The sequence below is a fragment of the Homo sapiens genome, chromosome 1, assembly GCF_000001405.40.
Source record: "Homo sapiens chromosome 1, GRCh38.p14 Primary Assembly".
Taxonomy (NCBI): Eukaryota; Metazoa; Chordata; class Mammalia; order Primates; family Hominidae; genus Homo; species Homo sapiens.
Window position 1 is genome coordinate 101,423,230 of NC_000001.11, and position 23,166 is coordinate 101,446,395.

The following is a 23,166-nucleotide window of genomic DNA, read 5'->3' on the forward strand; positions in this document are numbered from 1 at the left end:
TCTGCAAGCTGAGGAGCAAGAAGAGTCAATTTGAGTCCCAAAACTGAAGAACTTGGAGTCCAACCTTCAAGGGCAGAAAGCATCCAGCACAGAAGAAAGATGTAGGCTGGGAGGCTAGGCCAGTCTCTCCTTTTCATATTTTTCTGCCTGCTTTATATTCACTCACAGCTGATTAGATTGTGCCCACTAGATTAAGAGTGGATCTGTCTTCCCTTCACCACTGACTCAAATGTTAATCTCTTTTGGCAACACCCTCACAGACACACCCAGGATCAATACTTTGTATCCTTCAATCCAATCAAGTTGACACTTAGTATTAACCATCATGCTACCTGTGTCCGAATCTCATGGGTTTCATATGGAGTCACAAAAGACCTCAGATAGTCAAGGCAATCGTGAGCAAAGAACAAAGATGGAGGCATCACACTTCCTGACTTCAAATGATATTACAAAGCTACAGTAGTTGAAACAGTATGGTACTGGCATAAAAAAAGACAGATAAACCAATGAAATAGAATCAACAGCCCAGAAATATACCCATGCATAAACAATCAGCTAATCTTTGACAAGGGCAACAAGGATACACAATGTGGAAAGGATAGTTCCTTTAATAAATGGTGTTGGGAAAACTGCATATCATATGCAAAAGAATGAATTTGGACCTTTATTTTACACTATACACAAAAATAACTCAAAATAGATTAAAGATTTAAACATAAGACCTTAATCTGTAAAATTGCTACATGAAAACATAGGGAAAAAGTTCCTTGATATTGGTCTTGGTATGGATCTTTTTAAAAAAACTTTTATTTTAAGTTCAGAGGTACATGTGCAGGATGTGCAGGTTTGTTACATAGGTAAAGGTGCATCCTGGGGGCTTGTTATACAGATTATTTCATTAGCCATGTATTAAGCCTAGTGCCCATAGTTGTTTTTCCTGATTCTCTTCCTCCTCCTACTTCCACCATTCTATAGGCCCCAGTGTGTGTTGCTTCCCTCTGTGTGTCCATGTTTTCTCATCATTGAGCTCCCATTTATAATTGAGAACATGCGGTATTTGGTTTTCTTTTCCTGTGTTAGTTTGCTAGGGATAATGGCCTCCAGCTTTATTTATGTCCCCGCAAAGGACATAATCTCATTTTTTATGGCTGCATAGTATTCCTGGTGTATATGTACCACATTTTTTTTATCCATTCTATAATTGGTGGGCATTTGGGTTGATTCCATGTCTTTGCTATTGTGAATAGTGTTGTCATAAACATACATGTGCATGTGTCTTTATAATAGAATGATTTATATTCCTTTGGGTATATACCCAGTAATGGGCTTACTAGGTTAAATGGTATTTCTGTCTTTAGGTCCTTGAGGACTTGCCACACTGTCTTCCACAATGATTGAACTAATTTACACTCCCACCAACAGTGTATAAGCATTCCTTTTTATTCACAACCTCACCAGCATCTGTTAGTCTTTTGACTTTTTAATAATAACCATTCTGACTGGTGTGAGATGGTATCTCATTGTGGTTTTGATTTGCATTTCTCTAATAATAGGTGATGTTGAGCTTTTGTTTGTATGATTTTTGGCCACATGTATGTCTTCTTTTGAGAAGTGTCTGTTCATGTCTTTTGTCCACTTTTTGATCATGTTTTTTTCTTGTAAATTTGTTTATATTCCTTATTGGTGCTGGATATTAGACTTTAGTCAGATGCATAGTTTGCAAAAAATTTCTCCCATTGTGTAGGTTGTATGTTTATTTTGTTGATAGTTTCTTTTGCTGTGCAGAAACTTTTTAGTTTAATTAAATCCCATTTGTCAATTTTTATTTTTGTTACAATTGCTTATGGCATCTTTGTCGTGAAATCTTTGCCAGTGCCTATGTCCTGACTGGTATTGCCTAGGTTGTCATCTAGGGTTCTTATAGTTTTCAGTTTTACATTTAAGTCTTTAATCCATCTTGAGTTAATTTTTGTATATGGTATAAGGAAGGGGTCCAGTTTCAGTTTTCAGCATTTGGCTAGCCAGTTCTCCCAGCACCATTTACTGAGTAGTTAATCCTTTCTCCATTGCTTGTTTTTGTCAGGTTTGTCAAAGATCAGATGGTTGTAGCTGTGCAGTCTAATTTCTGGGTTCTCTATTCTCTTCCATTGGTCTATGTGTTTGTCCTTGTATCAGTACTATGCTGTTTTGGTTGCTGTAGCCTAGTTGTTGCATAGTTTGAAGTCAGGTAGCATGATGCCTCCAGCTTTGTTCTTTTTATTATTATTATACTTTAAGTTTTAGGGTACATGTGCACAATGTGCAGGTTTGTTACATATGTATACATATGACATGTTGGTGTGCTGCACCCATCAACTTGTCATTTAGCATTAGGTATATCTCCCAATGCTATCCCTCCCCCCTCCTCCACCCCACAACAGTCCCCGGTGTGTGATGTTCCCCTTCCTGTGTCCATGTGTTCTCACTGTTCAACTCCCACCTATAAGTGAGAACATGCTGTGTTTGGTTTTTTGTCCTGTTCTTTTTACTTAGGATTGCCTTGGCTTTTCGGGCTCTTTTTTGGTGTCATATGAATTTTAAAATAGTTTTCTCTAGTTCTATGAAGAATGTCAATGGTAGTTTAATGGAAATAGTTTAATGGTAGCTTAATGGGAATAACAGTTTAATAGGAATAGTTTAATGGTAGTTTAATGGGAATAGCATTGAATCTATAAATTGCTGTGGGCAGTATGACTATTTTTGTGATATTAATTCTTCCTATCCATGAGCATAAAACATTTTTATTTGTTTGTGTCATCCTTGATTTCTTTGAGCAATGGTTTGTAGTTCTCCTTGTAGAGATCTTTCACCTCTTTTGTTACTTGTATTCCTAGGTATTTTATTCTTTTTGTGGCAATTGTGAATGGGAGTTTAATCATTCAAGCTCTCAGCTTGACTGTTGTTGGTGTATAAGAATGCCAGCAATTTTTGCACATTGATTTTGTATCCTGAGACTTGGCTGAAGTTTCTTGTCAGCTTAAAAAGCTTTTGTGGGGAGACACTGGGGTTTTCTAGATATAGGATCATATCATAAGGAAACAAGGATAGTTTGACTTCCTCTCTTTTTATTTGAATGCCCTTTATTTCTATCTCTTTCCTGATTGGCCTGGCCAGAACTCCCAACACTATGTTAAATAGGAGTGGTGAGAGAGGGCATCCTTGTCTTGTGCTAGTATTCAAGGCAAATGCTTTCAGCTTTTGCCCATTCAGTATGATGTTGGCTGTGGGTTTGTCATATATGGCTCTTATTATTTTGAGGTATACTCCTTCAATACCTAGTTTATCAGGAGTTTTTACATGAAGGGATGTTGAATTTTATTGAAAGCTGTTTTGGCGTCTATTGAGATAATCATGTGGTTTTTGTCTTTAGTTATGTTTATGTGATGAATCACATTTATTGATTTGTGTATGTTAAACCAATCTTGTATCCCGGGGATGAAGCCTACTTGATCGTGGTGGATAAGCTTTTTGATGTGCTGCTGGTTTTGGTTTTCCAGTATTTTGTTGAGGATTTTTGCATTGATGTTCATCAAGGATATTGCCCTGGAGTTTTCTTTTTTTGTTGTGTATCTGACAGGTTTTGGTATCAGGATGATGCTTGCCTGATAGAATGGGTTAGGGAGGAGTCCTTCATTTTTAAATTTTTGGAATAGTTTCAGTAGGAATTGTACCAGCTCTTTGTACATCTGGTAGAATTCATCTGTGAATATGTCTGGTGCTGTGCTTTTCTTTTTCTTCTTTGGTTGGTAGGCTATTTATTACTGCCTCAATTTCAGAACTTGTTATTGATCTGTTCATGGATTCAATTTCTTCCTGGCTCAGGCTTGGGAGGGTGTTTGTGTCCAGGAATTTATCTGTCTCTTCTAGGTTTTCTAGTTTGTTTACATAGGGATGTTCATAGCAGTTTCTGATGGTTCCTTTTATTTCTGTGGGGGTCAGTAGTAAGATTCCTTTTGTTATTTCTAAGTGTGTTTATTTGCATAGTCCCCTTTCTTCTTTATTAGCCTACCTAATGGCCTATTTTATTAATTTTTTCAAAAAAACAACTGCTGGGTTTTTTTATCTTTTAAATAATTTTTCATGTCTCAATCTCCTTTACTTCAGCTCTGATTTTTGTTATTTCTCATCTTCTAGCTTTGGGTTTGATTTGTTCTTCCATCTCTAATTCTTTCCATTGTGAAGTTAGGTTAATTTGACATCTTTCTAATTTTTTGATGTGGGCATTTAGTGCTATTAATTGCCATCTTCACACTACCTTAGCTGTGTCCCAGAGATTCTGGTATGTTGTACCTTTGTTCTCATTAGTTTCAAAGAACTTCTTGATTTCTGCCTTAATTTCATTCAAAGGACCTTCAGGAGCAGGTTACTCAATTTCCAAGTAATTTGTATGGTTTTGAGTGAAGTTTTTAGTCCTAAGTTCTAATTTGATTGGATTGCACCATGGTCCAAGAGACTGTTATGATTTCAGTTCTTTTGCATTTGCTGAGGAGTGTTTTACCTATGATTATGTGATCAATTTTAGAATAAGTGACATGGCAATGGGAAGAAGTATATTCTGTTGTTTTGGGGTACAGAGTTCTGTAGATACCTATCAGGTTCCTTTGATTCAGAGCTGAATTGAGGTCCTGAATATCTTTGTTAATTTTCTGTCTCATTGATCTGTCTAATATTTTCAGTGGGATAGTAAAGTCTCTCACTATTATTATGTGGGTGTTTAAGTCTCTTTGAAGGTCTCTAAGAACCTGCTTTATGAATCTGGGTGCTCTTGTATTGGGTGCATATGTATTTAGGATAGTTAGCTCTTCTTGTTGAATGAAACTCTTTACCATTATGTAATGCCCTTCTTTGTCTCTTTTGATCTCTGTTGGTATAAAGTCTGTTTTGTCAGAAACTAGGATTGCAGCCCTTGCTTTTTTCTGTTTTCCATTTGCTTGGTAAATTTTCCTCCATTCCTTTATTTTGAGCCTATATGTCTTTACATGTGAGATGGGTCTCTCGAAGACAGCATACCAATGGGTCCTGGTTCTTTATCCAGCTTTCTACTCTGTGTCTTTTAATTGGGGCATTTAACCTATTTACATTTAAGGTTAGTATTATTATGTATGGATTTGATCCTGTCATTTTGGTGCTAGCTGGTTATTTTGCAAACTTGTTTATGTGGATGCTTCATAATGTCACTGGTCTGTGTACTTCAGTTTGTTTCTGTAGTGGCTGGTAATGATTTTTCCTTTCCATATTTGGTGCTCCCTTGAGGAGCTCTTTTAAGGCAGGTCTGGTGGTAATGAATTCCCTCAGCATTTGCTTCTCTGAAAAGGATCTTATCTCTTTTTTGCTTATAAAGCTTGATTTGGCCAGATATGAAGATTTCCTGAGGTCATTGTAGATTTGAGGATGGTCTTTGTATATGTTTGTGTGCATGATTGTGTGAGTGTGTTTGTGGAGATGTAGGTGGTGCTTCTTGATTACTGTATGTTGTCATGGTTACCACTAAGGCCCTTTTCACATATTCTGTTTAATCAATCTCTGAGAGATTTATTAGTGCTAAGCAAACTATCAAGAGATTGTTTTGAAATTTGGAAAGTTAATATTGCTTTACAATAGGGGATATTTTTGGCTCACTACATTTGAGGTTTCTCTGTGGCTGTATCTACTTAGGAAACTAAATGGCATAAGCAAATATAGCGTGAAAATCAGACTTAGAGCAAAAAGAATAAATGTTCTTTGGAAATGACTTTGACCAATGAATATTAGCCTGTTAAAGTCTCATTCTGTTTTCTAGATTTTTTTTTGATTACATAATTTGGATTTTTAAAAAAGAAAACTAGACTATGTTATTCACTGGACATGGCTTAGGAAACTGATAAAATAATGTCCTCTAACTTTCCTTTTTGTAGTGCCTGCATTGGCCCAAAATTCAACTCTTATTTTAGTTTTCTACCTCACTGCAATACCTTCTGAACATCTTTACAATGTCAGCATCCAATTTCACAGTGAGTACCTTTTCAATGGACTGTCTCTTAATTGCTTCTAGAATGTTTTCTAGGTGCCAAATGATCTTATTTATTTTGTGTGAATTACTTTTAGTCTCAGAGAATGTGTCCTTTTTATGTTCTTGATCTTTCTGTTTTCTAATTTTTAGGATCCAGAGTTAAGAATATAATAGAAGAGTATTTTACTCTTGGACCTTAAATGGTCACTGTCTACTCTCTAGATGAGGTATAATGCACATCTTTCTTAAAGCTGGCAGTGTATTTATATGCACATTTTACATAACCATTGCAATTATCTTATAACCCATAATCTAGACTCAAAAATGAAAGTTCATTCTGTAACCATATAAAACATTTTGTTTTAGCATATGCACTAAAAACCACAGACTTTTAAATTCTGTTCTTTTCTTTTCTAAGTGCTCTCATCTACAATAAAATCTGATTTAGGTGGTGATTTAGGAGAATGGAAACTATTAAAGTAAAACCAACCAGCAACTAAAAATATTTTATAGAGGAAAGGTAAGAATTCCTTAATGGTTTCTGATTATAAGCACCTTTAGAATAGTTCATAATGCTACATATAAAATTAAAGAATCATAGTAGTTTTCCTAAATGATTCAACAGATAGATGTTTTCTTTTAGCTTGGCAGACGGAATTTTCTTCCAGAATTCACATTTAAAACTACTTTTTTCTTTGAACAGAGTCTTGCTCTGTTGCCCAGGCTTGAGTGTAGTAGTAGCATGATCTCAGTTCACTCCAGCTGTGACCTCCTGAGTTCAAGTAATCCTCTTGCCTCAGCCTCCCAAGTAGCTGGGACCACAAGTGTGCAAGACCATGCCCGAATAATTTTACATTTTTTATAGAGATCAGGTCTCACCATGTTGCTCATCTCAAACTCCTGGGCTGAAGGGATCCTTTTGCCTTGGCCTCCCAAAGTGCTGAGATTATAGGTGTGAACCCCTGCACCCAGCCTAAAACTAAAACATTTTCTTTAACACTCAACCTGAGTTCGATCAACCATTTTGAAATCCTAAAAACAAACAACAATAACAACAAAAAAAGAAGGGCCATCAAAGTCTTATTGGGCTGACATAGCTCTAATATTGTTATAAACATGTACTATACACACACTACACATACCGTGGACACTTATACATCTTTTTTCAGATGCCCATATTTTTTTTATTTGGTTTTACTGTATAATAAAAACACTCAGGACACACAACCCCTCCCCACAATAAAACACCATTTCTCATTTTAAATGATTATATTTACAGGTGCTTTGGCCCCTAAAAAGTCATGAGTTGTTATGAACTTTATAAGAAGTAATATGTGAAAAATCCTCCAGAATATTAGTCGTTACGGTATATTCTCAAGCTCAGTGCTTCCAAATCTGGCTATCAGATTCCCTTTAAATGTTTACTTTTAAAAATGCTCTCCAGGTGATTCTGATGATCAGCTAGAAAGGGGAACAACTTCTTTTAAAATTTAATTTAATTTTAAGTTCCAGGATGCACGTGCAGGACATGCAGTTTTGTTACATAGGTAAACGTGTGCCATGGTGGTTTGCTGCATCTATTAACCCATCACCTAGGTATTAAGCTCCACATGCATTAGCTATTTATCCTGATGCTCTCCCTCTCCCCACACCTCCAACATGTCCCAGTGTGTGGGGAAAAACTTCTTAAGTCCCACTCCCAAGGAATAAACTGACTGGAGATGTCAGGACACTGTGGGATGTGTATTTGATCTAAACACGTTCCCTACTGCCTTCCTTCAGTTATAAAGTCTTATTCTTGTAAAGACAGCATCGTAACATTAATTATCTTTTCTGGTTACTCTTTATCTGTAAGTGATATATCAGATGCTGTTGAGCATTATCCAAATGTAAGGGAAGTATTATTATCACCACCTTAAGGCTAGGTTGTTGAGGTTCAGGGAGAATAACTTTCTCAAAGGAACTGTCATTGAGTAAGTCAATTCGGTTAACTTAAGGGTGATTATTAACTCACTAATGAGAGTGATCAGGAGTAACTGAAGCATCTTCAAGTCCTGTCATCAAGAGTCACCTTCCAAAATGAAAGATGCACAGGCCCTTTTATTTAAAAAGTCTTTAGAAAATTTCCACACACACACACACACACACACACACACACACACACACACACACACAGAATCATTTGTAAAAACCTGAGAACTAATGGTTTTAAAACTTTTATTCAGTAGAATAATTTATTTATGCGATTGAACAACAACTTTAAAGGATTTTCCAGACCTTATTTTCTCCAAACCTTAAATATTTTAGTTCATCCTATGAAGAAGCATTTGCTTTTTAAAAAGGCTGAAGGTTTGAGTAACACTTTGCTTTGATCCCATTTTCTGCCTGGGGAAGAGCATTTCTTATCTATCATTTGATGCATAAAATTTTATTGTTACTCCAGAGTTAGAGGAGGAGAAAAATAACCGAGGACAACTTCAATTTGCAGAGTACCCAAGGGCTGGGAAGAAGAAGATATAAGATGATTCTAGACTTGAACATTATATTTTATGTTCAAAGTATCCTCAAGATACTATGAATTTGTTTACACACTTAGCTTAACTTTGAAAGGACAACCTTAAATCAAGAAAACAGTTTTAATTTTACTGTGCCTAGTTCAAAGCAATGTCTCAGAGTCAGCTATAATTTGAGCAAAACAGTAATAGTTACAGCAGGTGCAGGTTTTCCTTCAGCCTGACCAGGGTCTTGTTGTCTGCAAGTTACTGAATCACTCTTGTCAATAAGACCAGTCATCCCTGTCTTACAATAGAAATTCCAAAAATCAATGCATCACACATTACTTCCTTTGAAAGCAGCACTGAAGATCTGTCAGTCAATAGCAACTACAACAGAAACCGTTCACGTCACCTGTTTCTCCCCACCCTCTCCATCTCTCATAGCCTGAAGAGAAGAAGCCTTGGTTAGTGGCTCCTCAGTGAGCTCTGCTTATCTGCCAACTGGCTGTAACAATAGTCAGTAAATACTTACTGAATATTAATAATGAGCCTGGCATTGTGCCAGCTGTTGGCTTCCATCTCATGTCCTTTTCATTTGTCATTGTCTATCACTACACTGTAAGTACCACAACAGATGGAAACTTCTCTGTTTTGTTATTAGTGTATCCTCACAATATTTGTTAAATGAGTGAGAGACTCAGGATACAAAGGTGGAATAAAAGCAGACGTGGTTCCTGCTCTCATAGGATGCTCGTAGTTTAGTGACGGAAATAGACGTTAATCAAAGAGTCTTACAAATGAATGAAAATTTACAACTATGATAAATGTGGAGATGAGAGACTTAAGAAAGAGATAATTGACCACAAAATGAAGGTCACACTAGGATTCCTGATAAGGGGCAACACGGTGAGATAAACTCTGAAAGAAGAGGTAAAAGAGGAATGATATGGGTAGGGAGATTGTTTGAGTCCAAGGAAGTTGACTCAAGGCCACATTGCTGAAGGGAACATGCTTATTCAAGTAAAAAAGCCAGTGTGGTGGTGTAGCAGAGGGAAAGTGAAAGGATGGTCTTCAGATGAGGCTGGGTAGGCAGGTGGGATCCAGACAAAGGCGGGAACCTATAGACAATGTCAAGCATTTGGATCTTTAGCTTGAGATTGACTGGAAGCCCCTAGATGAGTTTTAATCAGTAATAAAATGAGCAGATTTGCACTTTGTAAAAGATCACTCTGCATTGTAGAGAATGGACAAGTCATGGTTTAAATGGAAAAATTATTGCCACAATTCATTCAAGAGATGTGGTCAGCTTGGATTAGGATACAACAGAGGAGATATAATGCAGTGAAAAGATTTGGAAGATATTTTGGAAGTCAAATTGACAAGGTATGGTTTTAGAGTCAATATGAGGAGTGAGAAAGAGGGAGGAGTCAGGGATGACTCCTAGATTTCTGGCTTGCTTACCAGAATGGAAGCTCATATTGTTCACTGATAATGGTCACACCAGAAGAAAACCAGGTATGGAGCTGTAGTGTGGGGCTGGATGCAATGAGTTCAGTTTTTCGTTATGCTGTGCCTAAGTGCCTTTGAGATAGCAAAGCAGGGACATTTAGTAGAAAATTGGTATAAGTGGTTATATGAATCTAGAAGTCCCAGGAAAGGTCTGTGCCAGAGAAATATTAACAAGTGTGACTCTTGTGTAAATAGATGAAAATTGAAACCATTGGTATGGATATAATTGCCTGAATATAGAAATTGAAAAGAGAGACAGGTTAAGACAGAAATTTGAGAAAGTTTCATCATTTAATGCAATGTAATTATTGAATAACGAAGAATGATTGTGTAAATTAGAGAAAGAAGAAACTGCAGAGACTAGAAGTAAACCAGGAGATGGTTGTGTGATGAAAACCAAGGGAAGTTTCACCCATATCAAAAGCTGTGGAGAGATGGAAAACAATCATATATCTGTTTTCCCAACATGTAACTTATGTTCACTATTGTACCCAGAGTAACTAACAAAGTTGGACTAATAGTTGGATTTTAACAAATAATTTTGGAATTAATGAATAAATGTTCAACACAAGATATGAAATCTTAGAGGAAGACATAGGCCATCAAGGGAAAATGGGAGAAGTCATCATAAAATGTGGGAGTTGGGAGAAAAGTGATGATTTCCACAAACATATCCATCATGTTATTTGTGGTCAATTATTAGGGTTAGACTTAAAACCCTGACTAGATCACCTTTCCTCTACAGTATGTGGATATGATGGTAAATTTCTGAAAAGACAAGCTGGTCAAGAATATGAGTGGAATCCTACATCATTGCGGAAGACTTACAGAAAAAACAAGGCACAGGTGTGCAAGGCTGACCTTTATGGAGCACTTTTTGACTTTGATCCTTAGGGATTTCATCGCTTCTGCTCTGTAGCCATTTTGAGTTATAGGTTTCAGAATGAAATAAAATGTTGCTGCTTTGGCTAAATATGCATTTATTTTAATTACTCTACCAAAGACTTAAATTCCACATGGTATACACTGTCTATAATAATGCCCAAATGTCACCAGCTTAGCCCAGTGGAACTTAAGTCTCATTCATGCAGCATTTCTGTGCAAGTGTTTGGTGGGTGGCTCTCCCTGGGGTGATTTATGAACTCTATCTGGTGGCTGCACTGTCTTTTGGAGCTGTGGAGGCCTATGCTGAATTCTCTGCTTCCAGCCAGCCAGAGAGTGGAAAGGGAGCATTATGAAATATTTTTCGGGTGCTGGGCTAGAAGTAGCATCCATCTCTTCTACTCATATTCCATCAATTAGAACACAGTCATGTGGCTACACTTTATTGCCAGGGAGGCTGGAGAATTTGTCTGGCCATGTACCTGAGTGGAAAGGAAAATAGATTTGTTAAACCTGTCTACCTCTCTCCACAGGGCCTTTTCCTCTATGTCCTGCTAGTTTAAGGGACTAATTAAGCCCTGTTACCTTCCTTGTCAGAGAATTATCTTTCTTTGTTTAACATATTTGCTTTAAACTGTTTCTGCCTGTCTTAACTTTTACTTGAATGCCTTCTCTCCTCAAGGAAGAGAAAAACATGACTTAGGGCTGATTTCCCAGGATTGTCTCATGATTATCTTGTAGCCAAGAGGACCCAACATCTGGCAATCAAGTAGCCAAAACTACTTTTCTCTGGCTTTACCTTTGGAGTTACTTTAAAAAAAGTGTTTTTATAAGTTCTACTTCAACAACGTTTTGGGGAAAATGCTTACAGTTTAACAGTTTAGCTTTTGTTAGAAACAGTTGTTTTCCAACCTTAGGAGGCATGTAAATCACCTGGTGAGCTGGCCCCATCCCCAGACCTTCTGATTCTCTAGGTCCGAATGAGAATTTGCATTTCTAATAAATTCCCAAGTGATCCTCATATTGCTGGTTCAGGGATTACACTTTGAAAATCGTTGCTCCAAAATAAACTCTAAAATAAATTTTTTTATTTTATTTTTAAAGAGTACATCCTATTTTCCTAAACCTGAAATTTAATTCATATGGGAAGATAACACAGTAGACAATACATTTTAAGATCAGGAAAAAACTTAGAGATAGAAAATTGTAATCTTTGCTTTGAGCCAGCCAATTTTCAGCCAGCAATATGAAACTAGGCAAGCCATTTTACCTTTCAGATTTTCCATTTCTTTATAAACTAATGATAATAACATCTACTTTGCCTGGGACATGAGATTTTTGTGCCAGGCTAATCAGGAACAGAACAGCCAGGAGATCTGCTTGTTTCTATGGAAAACGAGATTTATACCCCATCAGAGAACTCCCTGAGGGCTGCCCACCTACAAGGAAAACTATTATGTAGCCTCACAAATGAGGCTGCTTTAGTTTTCTGGAAGGTAGTGTATTCTCTGCCCTTGAACCAAATTTCAAAACACCACCAGCAATCATGCTGAAAGGTCAAATGTTGAATCCTTATGATTCTCAACAAAGCTCTATGATAGAATCACCTGCTTTGAGAAAAAAAATGTCCATGCTCTGGCTTCATACATTCTGAGGTGGGGTCTGGGCATTCACAAATGAGTCTTATGTGGGAGCTGGGTTGAGAACCAACCTGTCAGTGACAGACTGTGGCCCCTTGCAGCATCCTGCCCTGGTGAGTGAAGTGAGTTGTATTGTGACTTCTAGCTTATAGATGATGGACAAATTCTGTGCACCACAAAGTTTGATTGCATTGGGGATATTAAATTCCCATGCAGTGAGCAGTCTATCACAGGACAAATGAGAGTGTCAGAGCAGGCTTTTTAGGGCCTGTGTTATTATGTTGAATGATAAACTGCTTGCAAGTGATTAAACTGCCTCCATAGACCTAGGCCCTCACTTTTTTCTTTTCAGATGATGCCATCTATCTTTGTATTTCTTGTTTCCTACCAACACACGTGTCGAATTGCCGCAAAGCATCTCAGTGCTTGAGAAGTCTGTTGAAAGAGATGTTTCATGCTTAATTTTCTTAGTCATGCAGAACTGGATCAAATCTGTGTCATAAGAAATTGGGCAACTATAAATAATCGTGGGTTTACATATTTTATTTTCAGGTTTTATTTTAACTTTTATCACTAGGAAAAGTCAAGCAGAACCATAATTTTGAGAAGGAAGTGAAACAGGATGGGCATGAGATGCAGATGGTGCTATGATCTGTAGAGCTTTCTCTGTATATTTCACTTGTGTTTCAGTTGTTTCAGTGGAACAATGAGCAAAAACTGAAGGTCATTTGTTCCATAAAGGATTTCTTGAAAAGCTATTATTATTAACATAGTTGACATTAAAGTAATTTGACCTGAGTAATAGTTGTCTCAGAACAACTTTCATTTGGTTCATATATCAGCACTAAATTACTTTTGATGATTCTAGAAAGAGATAGTTAGAAAACATAAATTGTAGAGATTCTGATGAACTGAATTCCACAGTTGAATGAACATCTTGGGACCAAGGTCTGTTAGTTTTTCCAAATGTACTGATAAGGAAAGACAATAATTTTGTGATGGAGCTGTTATTTTTAAAATTTTGACTGGAGATGACAAGAAATTCTCATCAGATGCTATGAACACTGCTCTTGGATACTTCCCTTCTTCTAGATACTTATTTTCTGATTATCTCTTTGCTTTGCTTTTTTTTTTTTTTTAGAAAATGGGTTATTTATCTTTTTATTATTGGGGTTGTAAGAATTTGTTTTTTTTCTGAGACAGGGGCTTGCTCTGCTGCCCAGGTTCAGTGCGGTAGCATGATCATAGCTCACTGCAGCCTCGAACTCCTGGGTTCAAGCAATCCTCCCACCTCAGCCTCACCAAGAAGCTGGTGCCCAAGCATGCACCACCACACCTGGCTAATTTTTGTATTTTTTTCTAGAGACAGGGTCTTGCTATGTTGTCCAGGTTGGTGTTGAACTCCTGGGCTCAAGAAATCCTCCCACCTTTGGCTTCCAAACTGCTGGGATTACAGGTGAGAGCCACTGCACCCAGCCTTTGCTCTGCTTTTTTGGTGACATAGGTTTGGTTTAGATGATTGCTTCTAGGAAAACTGTGTTAGCAACTCTGCAGTGTGTAGAGGTTCCTAAAGATGGAGAGGAGGCACAGGATTCTAGTTCTTGTCTTTCCAGCTAGCAGCGAACTGGGGTTTAGAACCAAATAAAATCAGAATTCCCACGGTGTGAGGAGAGGTACTCAGGATAAAACTGGCTTCAGACTCTGGGCAAGGCAGGGACTGGTCTATGTCAGCTGGAGGCATCTTTCCCAGACACTGGAGAGTGCATGTGTGGAGTTTCCACACTAGGCACAGTGTCTAGCTACCAGGAACAGAGGCTGGCACTGTTCTGCACCTATACCAGAAACTCAACAGAGGAGGCTTACTTTTATTCATATTGTTTTACTAACCATCCCCCACCCCATAGGAGGAAGGGGAAAAAATAACTTGTGAATAAAGTGGAAGAAAATTAAGATATAAAAAAGATTTGCTTGCCTTTTTTGTTTTTAAGGGTTTGTGAAGAGGCAAAAAAGGCTGAATCCCATTCTGTTCTTCAGGAATTATTCCTGAAGTATTTTGTTCTTTGTCTTAGATCAAGTCTGAAGATGTGAGATGTACTGCTACACATTGTTGTTATCTATTCTGTAGTGGAAATACACATTCCAGAACTGGATGTGGCATGGTGTAATTTTCCTGTCTAATTAGCCCTAGCACTCTTAAGTTAAAGGCTCACACTGCATGTCCGTTGGCATGACATCAGTCCACCACTGACTCTGACTGTCAGCAGGAATCTAAATATTTGGGCCAATGCATTTTGTCTAGAGCTTATATTTGTAGTTCAAAGAGAACTTCTTTGTAATGAAAAAAAAAGCATTTTTGTTATTATGTTTCCTCTTCTTTGGAATTAGCAACTATCCCAATTAAGCCTCTCTAACTTCTCCTACTTCCCCAATAGGCATACCTCTTGAACTGCTTTAGTTACCAACAAAAATGGGAATGATAGGTCTTTGTAATTAGCTTTTTAGAGATAGAAAAATCACAGCTATTAACCCCAGACTGTGTCTAATGTGGAGTCTCAACTTAATAAATTAGCTAGAAGTATGCTGCCTTTCTCTGTAGTGAAGCCTTATGGCAGCCCTGGCTTATGGCTGCTGGTTACTGATGAACCAAAAAGATTGTTGTGAGGCTATTTCTATTGTCCTACGCTCATCATCTTAGGTGTGGAAGAGTCATTAAAAAATTAAAGTTATCAAAGAATTATTAAAGATCACTGTTTCGTCCCTTCCCTGCCCCAGTGCTGGTACTCTCTTTACAACATCTCCCCCACGTGGTAGCCTTGATCCTGATAGAACTCACCTCATGAGCCTGAGGCAAAAATAGTCTCCAGCTTCCAGCAGACAGTTACAATTTGGAGTTATCCATCAAAATAGTCTACTTAAAACTGTAGAGAGCTATAGCTTAGAAGGAGACATAAATGTATAAATAGATAAATTGATATAAAATGTTGTGAGTGCTTTGATATAGGCACAAATAACTTGTTAAGAAACAACTAACTGCCTGGGAAAGTCTTGGAAAGATACCCTGAGGAGACATTGGAATCTGTCTTGAAGAATAAGTAGAAGTGAGTGTGTGTATGGGTGGGGGTGAGGGGGACTGGGAGTGAGTAAGAATATTTCCACAGAAAGAATAGCCGGTACAAAGATATGAAATCTGGAAAAGGCTGCGTTAAGCCAGGGCAAGAAGTTGAGAATGGCTGGATGGAAGGGCTTATGAAGTGGATTCTCTTTTCAGAAAGAGATGGCTTGAGCCTGGCTATTTGGGGGTTTGCTTGTTCAACCAAGAAGTTTAGATTTTATCTTACAGAAAAAGAGAAGACATCAAGAGGTTTGAAGCATGGGAGTGACTTGATTTGATTTCCAGTTTAGAAAGATAACACTAGTGGCAGTTTTGAATACTTATTTGATGGAGAAGGGAGTGAATCAGGGATACAGGCTGGGTGTAAAGCACTCTGCCCTCCCAGCAGCCCAGGTGGCCTGTTTTTGGTTCAGAAAATAAAGTTACTGTTTATAGAGACAGACTTAACTGGTTGTGATAGATCATTGCAAAATGTTATGCCTGATGTATGAATATTTGCAAAGTAAAATGGAAAATTGTGGCAATTGCTTGGATTATGCAGGGAAACAAAAATTGACTTGAAATACTAACATAAGGAATTTTAAGATGGAAAAAGCATAGATCAACGAGCAAAAGCTTTCTTTTTTTTTCCCCCATGAAATGATCAACTGTAATTTGGCTGGACGTAGTCTTAAGCATATACTCTTATAATCTCATGATTTCAATAGTATGTTTTTCTGTGACATCCTTATGGATCACAAAGTCACAATGGCATAGTATAAAATGGAATCACATTAAAAAATTATATTCTAGGCTGGACGTGGTGGCTCACACCTGTAATCCCAGCAATTTGGGAGGTCGAGGTGGGTGGATCACTTGAGGTCAGGAGTTTAAGACCAGTCTGGCCAACATAGTGAAACCCCATCTCTACTAAAAATACAAAAACATTAGCTGGGTGTGGTGGCATCCGCCTGTAATCTCGGCTACTCAGGAGGCTGAGGCAGGAGAATTGCTTGAACCCTAGAGGTGGAGGTTGCAGTGAGCAGAGATCCCACTGCTGCATTCCAGCCTGGGTGACAGAGCAAGACCCTGTCTGAAAAAAAACCAAAAAGTATTCTTAAAAAAGAAGGCAAAATAAGATTAGTAGAGGAACCAGTGCACATTTGCATATACTTAAAAACTTGTGTACTTTTTAGCTGGCTTGTCGGGATTACAACTCTCAAGCTAGCATAGCTGATGAGCTTTTGATCCCTTTCCTCCTATGGGGTGGGGGATGGTTAGTAAAACAATATGAATAAAAGGAAATGCAGTGGTGCTCAGAAGGAGAAGAGTTTGAGCCGTCTAATTGTTCCCCACATTCCATTTTGCCTTATAGACTTTGCATCGTCTGCCCTTTTTGGCTTGCTGGCTATTCAGTTCCCATTTTCTGCATGTCACAAACAAATGCTCCCAGGATAAAGTCAGAAACAGAACTTGAGTCTATTTCAAAAAAAGATGAGGGAGGAATATGCCTGGATTAAAGCCATGAAACAAATCCCCAAATATCCTTGCTAATTTAACATGAAAATAAGCTTTTAATAGTTTATCTTTATTCATGTTACATGTTTATTTAGTAGCATCTCAGTATTGAGAAAAGTAGATTTTGCAGCCAACTGACAGAAGAGTTTGGTCTGGATACTGGTTGTCCTCCCTGCAGGGATGGTTGGCTCTTGCGCTTGGAATGTCCCGGGGCTTCCCAGTATAGAAATGTGTGCTGGTCAGAACTGATCTCTGGCATGATTGTCAATGGCATCCATGAATTGGCCCACACCAGCACATTTTCCTGCGACTTCTCAGCTTCTGGTCTGTAGCTGCTTTCCGTCATTTTGTATTTGCTGCATACTCCATCAACCTAATAAAGCAGCTGTTTATTATGCGTGACCTGCTCTATAGTGTGACTGATGGATAACTGCAGCATTTAAAGTCTTGTGTTAGATTCTCAGCCTGCTGCCAGCTCTCCATTATATTCCATAAAAATGTTTCTTGTTATGGACTATCAGAAGCAAAAGTAAGTTATTTTAGGGTCAGAGCCAATTTGAACCCTCTAAAGTACTGCCAGATTAGAAGGTGGGAGAAAATAAGAAGCAGTCTGGAAGAAGCTGCAATTAAGGGCATCAAACATATGCACAAAGCATACCTTTTTCATAGTCCTGCATATACAGACACAGAGTATTTTATGTGGAGCATGTGATCCAATATGAGCTGGTATAGTCATATCTGTGAGGTTGGAAGGCTGGTTAAAAGAAAGGCAAGGACAGACAACTCTATTTATTATTTATTATTCACTCTGGTCCAGTGCTTTGCTGTGTTCTACTGCACATTATATGTCATTGATTTTCTAATAATCCCAAGGAGTTTTTTTTTTCTCCCATTTTATTGGTAACGTCTGAGGAAACAAGCTCTGAAAAATTGTGTCAATTTCTTGGCTTCTCACAGATAGTACAGGGTGTGCGGGATGAAAGCCCAGGTTGGTTTGGTGACAATGCCTGAGTCGTTTCCACTACCCTCTCCATGCTCTCAGTTAAATGACTTCTCAGGGTGAAAGCTCCTTAAGCCAGTCCTGGGGATTCACATAGAGGACTTGACTGGCCTCCAAAAATTTGCTTCTTAAGGTTTCAGGGATTCAATAGCTAGAGATTCATCCTAACAACACAAAAGTTGATTTCCTTGTAGTTTATTTTCATAAATATATTATGTATACTAAGTTTATATTAGCAAATAATGTGATAATTTTAAAAACATGTTTATACAAACATAGCCCTTTCTTTTTCTTTTTCTTTCTTTCTTTCTTTCTTTTCTTTCTTTCTTTCTTTCTTTCTTTCTTTCTTTCTTTCTTTCTTTCTTTCTTTTCTTTCTTTTTCTTTCTTTTTCTTTTTCTTTCTTTCCTTCCTTCCTTCCTTCCTTCCTTTCTCTTTCTTTCTTTCTTCCTTTCTTTCTTTCTTTCTCTTTCTCTCTCTCTTCCTTTCTTCTTTTCTTCTTTCTTTCTTTTTTTTTTTGAGTCGGAGTCTCGCACTGTCCCCTGGGCTGGAGTGCAATGGCACAATCCCAGCTCACTGCAACCTCCGCCTCCCAGGTTCAAGTGATTCTCCTGCCTCAGCCTCCTGGGTAGGTGGGATTACAGGCACCCACCGTCACGCCTGGCTAATTTTTGTATTTTTAGTAGAGACGGGGTTTCACTATGTTAGCCAGGCTGGTCTCGAGCTCCTGACCGCGTGATCTACCCGCCTTGGTCTCCCAAAATGCTGGGATTACAGGCATGAGCCACCACGCCCGGCCTCTTTCTTTTTTTTTCTTTTTTACATGTACTGGTTTATTATAAAGGATATTGCGAAGGATACAGAAGAAGGAGTGACATGTAGCGTGAGGTATGGGGGAAGGGGCAGGGAGTTTTCACGTCCTCCCTGGATGTGCCGCCCTTCAGGGACCTCCACACGTTCAGAGTTCAGCTTGGTAGCTCGCTGACTCTGCCCTCTTGGGTTTTTATGGAAGCTCCATGATGTCAGCATTCCTCCCCCTAGGGTACAGGGTGGGATTCTCTCCTGGGAGGGTCTTAAGACCCACAATCAGAAAGATGGGGGAACATTAGAGTCCTGCCTTGGAGCAGGTGAAAGGAGAGCAGAAGAAAGATTCTATTTCCTGAGGCCTGCGCCTGAGGCCTAACACCCCCAACATTGTGACAGAAGACTGTGACAAGGGCTCTGGGAGTTATGAACAAGGAACCATGGATGAAAACCAATATATATCATAACACCACAGGCCAGACCCTGGTTTTCAACCATGGATCCTTTACATCAAAAATATATATATACACAATCATTAATAATTAGTCCAGTTAATCAGATTGTGTGAGTATCTCCCAGGATGAGATCAACCAGGTTTGCAGGTTTCCTGTCAGTCTTGTCAGGTCCCAAAAGCAGGAGTGGCCTCAGTAAATATTCAACCTCACCCTTTCAGGCATCTGGGATGACTGACCTAAGAGACAATATCATCTCTTACTCTGAGACTCCTTTGAGTTGTTAACTGTAAGCCAAAAAGTACCTGAGACAGGTCTCGATCAATTTAGAAGTTTATTTTGCCAAGCTTAAGGACACATGCCCAGTAGACAAGTCTGTGCCTTTCTCCAAAGATGATTTTGAGGGCTTCAATATTTAAAGGGGAAAGTGTGGCTATTGGGGAAAGAGAAAGAAATTTTTGAAAGATGTGAGTAGACACAAGTGGGAGTTGAACAATGAGAACACATGGACACAGGGAGGGCAACAACACAGAGGGTAGGGGGCAGGGGGATGGAGAGCATTAGAACAAATACCCAATGCATGCGGGGCTTAAAACCTAGATAATGGGTTGATAGGTACAGCAGACCACCATGGCACATGTATACCTATGTAACAAACCTGCACATTCTGCACAGGTATCCTGGAACTTAAAGTGAAAAAATTAAAAAAAAAAGAGATGTGAGTAGATAAGAGGCAAATGGTTGCATTCTTTTGAGTCTTTGAGTAGCTGTTCACATGTGAAAGAAGAGTAGAAGAATAGTTGCTTATGCATTCATCTAGCTCAGTGAATCTGAATTTTTACATAAGATACAATAAGCATAGGGCAGAGGAAGCAATCAGATATGCACTTGGCTCAGGTGAGCAGAGGGATGACTTTGAATTGTGTTCTTTGTCCTGTACCTGTAAGGATAAGCTATCAAGTTACATCGTTAGGGTGAAATTCAACAGAACTGTTTTAGGGTAAAGATCTTGAGGCCCACAAGGAGTTTTCTAGTGGGCAAATTGTGAGGGAGCTATGTTTTTTTTTTTTTTTTTTAATCTTTGTAGCTGTCTTATTTAGGAATAAAATGGAAGGCAGGTTTGCCTGATACAGTGTCTGGATTGACTTTTCCCTTTGGCTTAGTGACTTTGAGGTCCTGAATTATTTTCCTTTCACAAAACGTAACATTGAATTTTTTCGATTAATAACCTATATATTCATTTTCCTACTCTCAGCTACTGTTTCCCCTTCTCTCCATTAATACCCAAACCTTTTCACCTTTGGGAAAGACATTAGAAATGCCACTGTGCTGGTCTAGATTGCAGGTAGCAATACAAGTCTAGCAAGTAGTTCCTCCTCAGTCTATTCCCATTCTGATAGGGTAAGGTTACATAACAGCAGAACTAGTGAGCTATTTTTACCACCAGGCAATACCGATGCATTCACTGTTAGCCCCAGTTTTGCTACATGGGGTGAAGGCACAACCCACTCCCATCATGGCCTTAAGGATTTTGACATAAGATTTAAAATCACAGTTACAGTTTTTTTGTTTAGAAATAATCTCTGCTGTTTCAGCATGTGTAATTATAGCCGTAGTCTTCGGACTAGTGTATCAGGTAGAGGAGCAAAAATGAATAATTTTTAAAAAGTTATTATTATTAATATTATTATTTTATAGAGATGAGGTCTCACTATATTACCCAGGCTGGTCTTAAACTCTGGTGCTCAAGTGCTCCTCCTGCCTCAGCTCTCCAAAGTGCTGAGATTACAGGCGTGAACCACCCATGCCCAGCCTAAATTTTTTTTTTGAGGTGATCTGGGGAAGAAAGAAAAAATTATAGTAATTATACTAGTGCGATTCTCTCTCAGCAAGAATTGCATAGTCATACCAGCATCTTCTCCACCCCTTCTTCTCCAGTCAACCAGAAAAAATGAGAAAAAATCTAGCAGAGACAGTCTAGTCCCACTCATGTTGAGTGTGAGCACACATTCCTGAAGGCATGTAAGCTTGCCCTTCATGCTTTTATCTTCCCCCTGTTTTAGAATACCAATGTTTCAGTTGCCCATTCTACTTCTCTATCAAACTATTATTCGAAGGAAGATATCTCTCTGCCTATTGTTGGACATTATGGGCTGTACAGTGTGTTCCTTGGTCTGAAGAAATAGTGGTTGACCATCCACATCCAGGCAACATCTTCTGTTTTTTTGTTTTGTTTTTATGGCACTCTGAGCATTTTCATTTCCACTGGATAAGCAAAACCCACTCTGCAATCGTGTCTATTCTTGTCAAGACACATTTGTAGCTCCCCAGGGCTACCAGCATCAGTTTTACTTGTCAGCTATGTTCTGGGTCTTCCCACCAGAGCATTTTCCCCATAGCCGTCAGCAGTCCCTGTCTCCCTTGATGAGAAACAGAACAGTTCTTCTGTCACAGTAGATAGTCAGATGTGAGCAGGGCAGGAGAGCCCTCCCCCCTACCTCCCACCCACACAAGAAATGCCAAGCAACCATCAGGTGATGGTCAGGCAGTTGTTAAACTGTCTCTCTAAAATAAGAATTGGTCACAGCCAGTGCCAGGGAAAGGCAATCTCCCAATAGAAAACACCAGAAGCTGGTGATAAGCAGCTTCTTGATAAGCTCTCAGGAGTTGGGCAAGCAGGTCCAAGTGTCCTCACTAAGAGGTAAAATAATGGAGTTTAACTGGTATATGACCTTCCTCTAGGAACAGTCAACCAGTAAGGGAAAAGAGCCTGAAATGAGCATGTGCACAACTTAAGTAAACACATTGCACATGTAGTCTCTCCCAAGTGCTGGCAGGCCTCTGTGCATGTGGACAACCACCCCAAGGGAAAAATCAAGGGAGGAGAGGTGGAAACCCCAGAACCATGCCAATGTATAAAACCCCACATCAAGAGCCAAACAGGGCACTTTGATCTCTCATATTGCCCACTTGGCCCTTTTCCAAGTGTACTTTCTTTTCTTTTTTTACAGAGTCTCATACTGTCACCCAGGCTGGAGTGCAATGGCATGATCTAGGCTCACTGCAACCTCCACCTCCCAGGTCCAAACGATTCTCCTGCCTCAGCCTTCATAGTAGCTGGGATTGCAGGTGCCCGCCACTGTGCCCAGCTAATTTTTGTATTTTTAGTAGAGACGGGGTTTTGCCATGTTGGCCAGGCTGGTTTTGAACTCCTGACCTCAGGAGTCTGCCTCAGCCTTCCAAGGTGCTGGGATTACAGGTGTGAGCCACCACACCTGGACACTTTACTTTCTTTCAATCTTGCTGTCAAATTTTGTAAAAAAAATTATGTTCAATAGTTTTTGGTGAACAGGTGGTGTTGGTTACATGGATAAGTTCTTTAGGTGTGATTTCTGAGATTTTGGTGCACCCATTACCTGAGCAGTGTACCCAGCACTCAGTGTGTAGTTTTTTATTTCTCACCCCACTCCCATCCTTCCCCTGCCCCCTGCCAAGTCCCCAAAGTCCACTGTGTCATTCTTATGCCTTTGCATCCTCATAGCTTACCTCCCACTTATAAGTGAGAACATACAATGTTTGGTTTTCCATTCCTGAGTTACTTCACTTGGAATAATGGTCTCCAGCTCCATCCAAGTTGCTGCAAATGCCATTATTTTGTTCATTTTTATGGCTGAGTAGTATTCCATGGCATATATATACCATGTTTTATTCTTTCTTTTCTTTTCTTTTTTTGACAGGGTCTCACTCTG

General features: G+C 38.9%; 2 annotated features.

The window, feature by feature from the left end:
* Window positions 13,157-13,326: an enhancer, noted in NCBI's record as "active region_1408". NCBI's record gives its function as "activates an Ori minimal core promoter by ATAC-STARR-seq in GM12878 lymphoblastoid cells {active_cell/tissue: GM12878}" and the evidence as "EXISTENCE:reporter gene assay evidence [ECO:0000049][PMID:35858748]".
* Window positions 21,231-21,290: an enhancer, noted in NCBI's record as "active region_1409". NCBI's record gives its function as "activates an Ori minimal core promoter by ATAC-STARR-seq in GM12878 lymphoblastoid cells {active_cell/tissue: GM12878}" and the evidence as "EXISTENCE:reporter gene assay evidence [ECO:0000049][PMID:35858748]".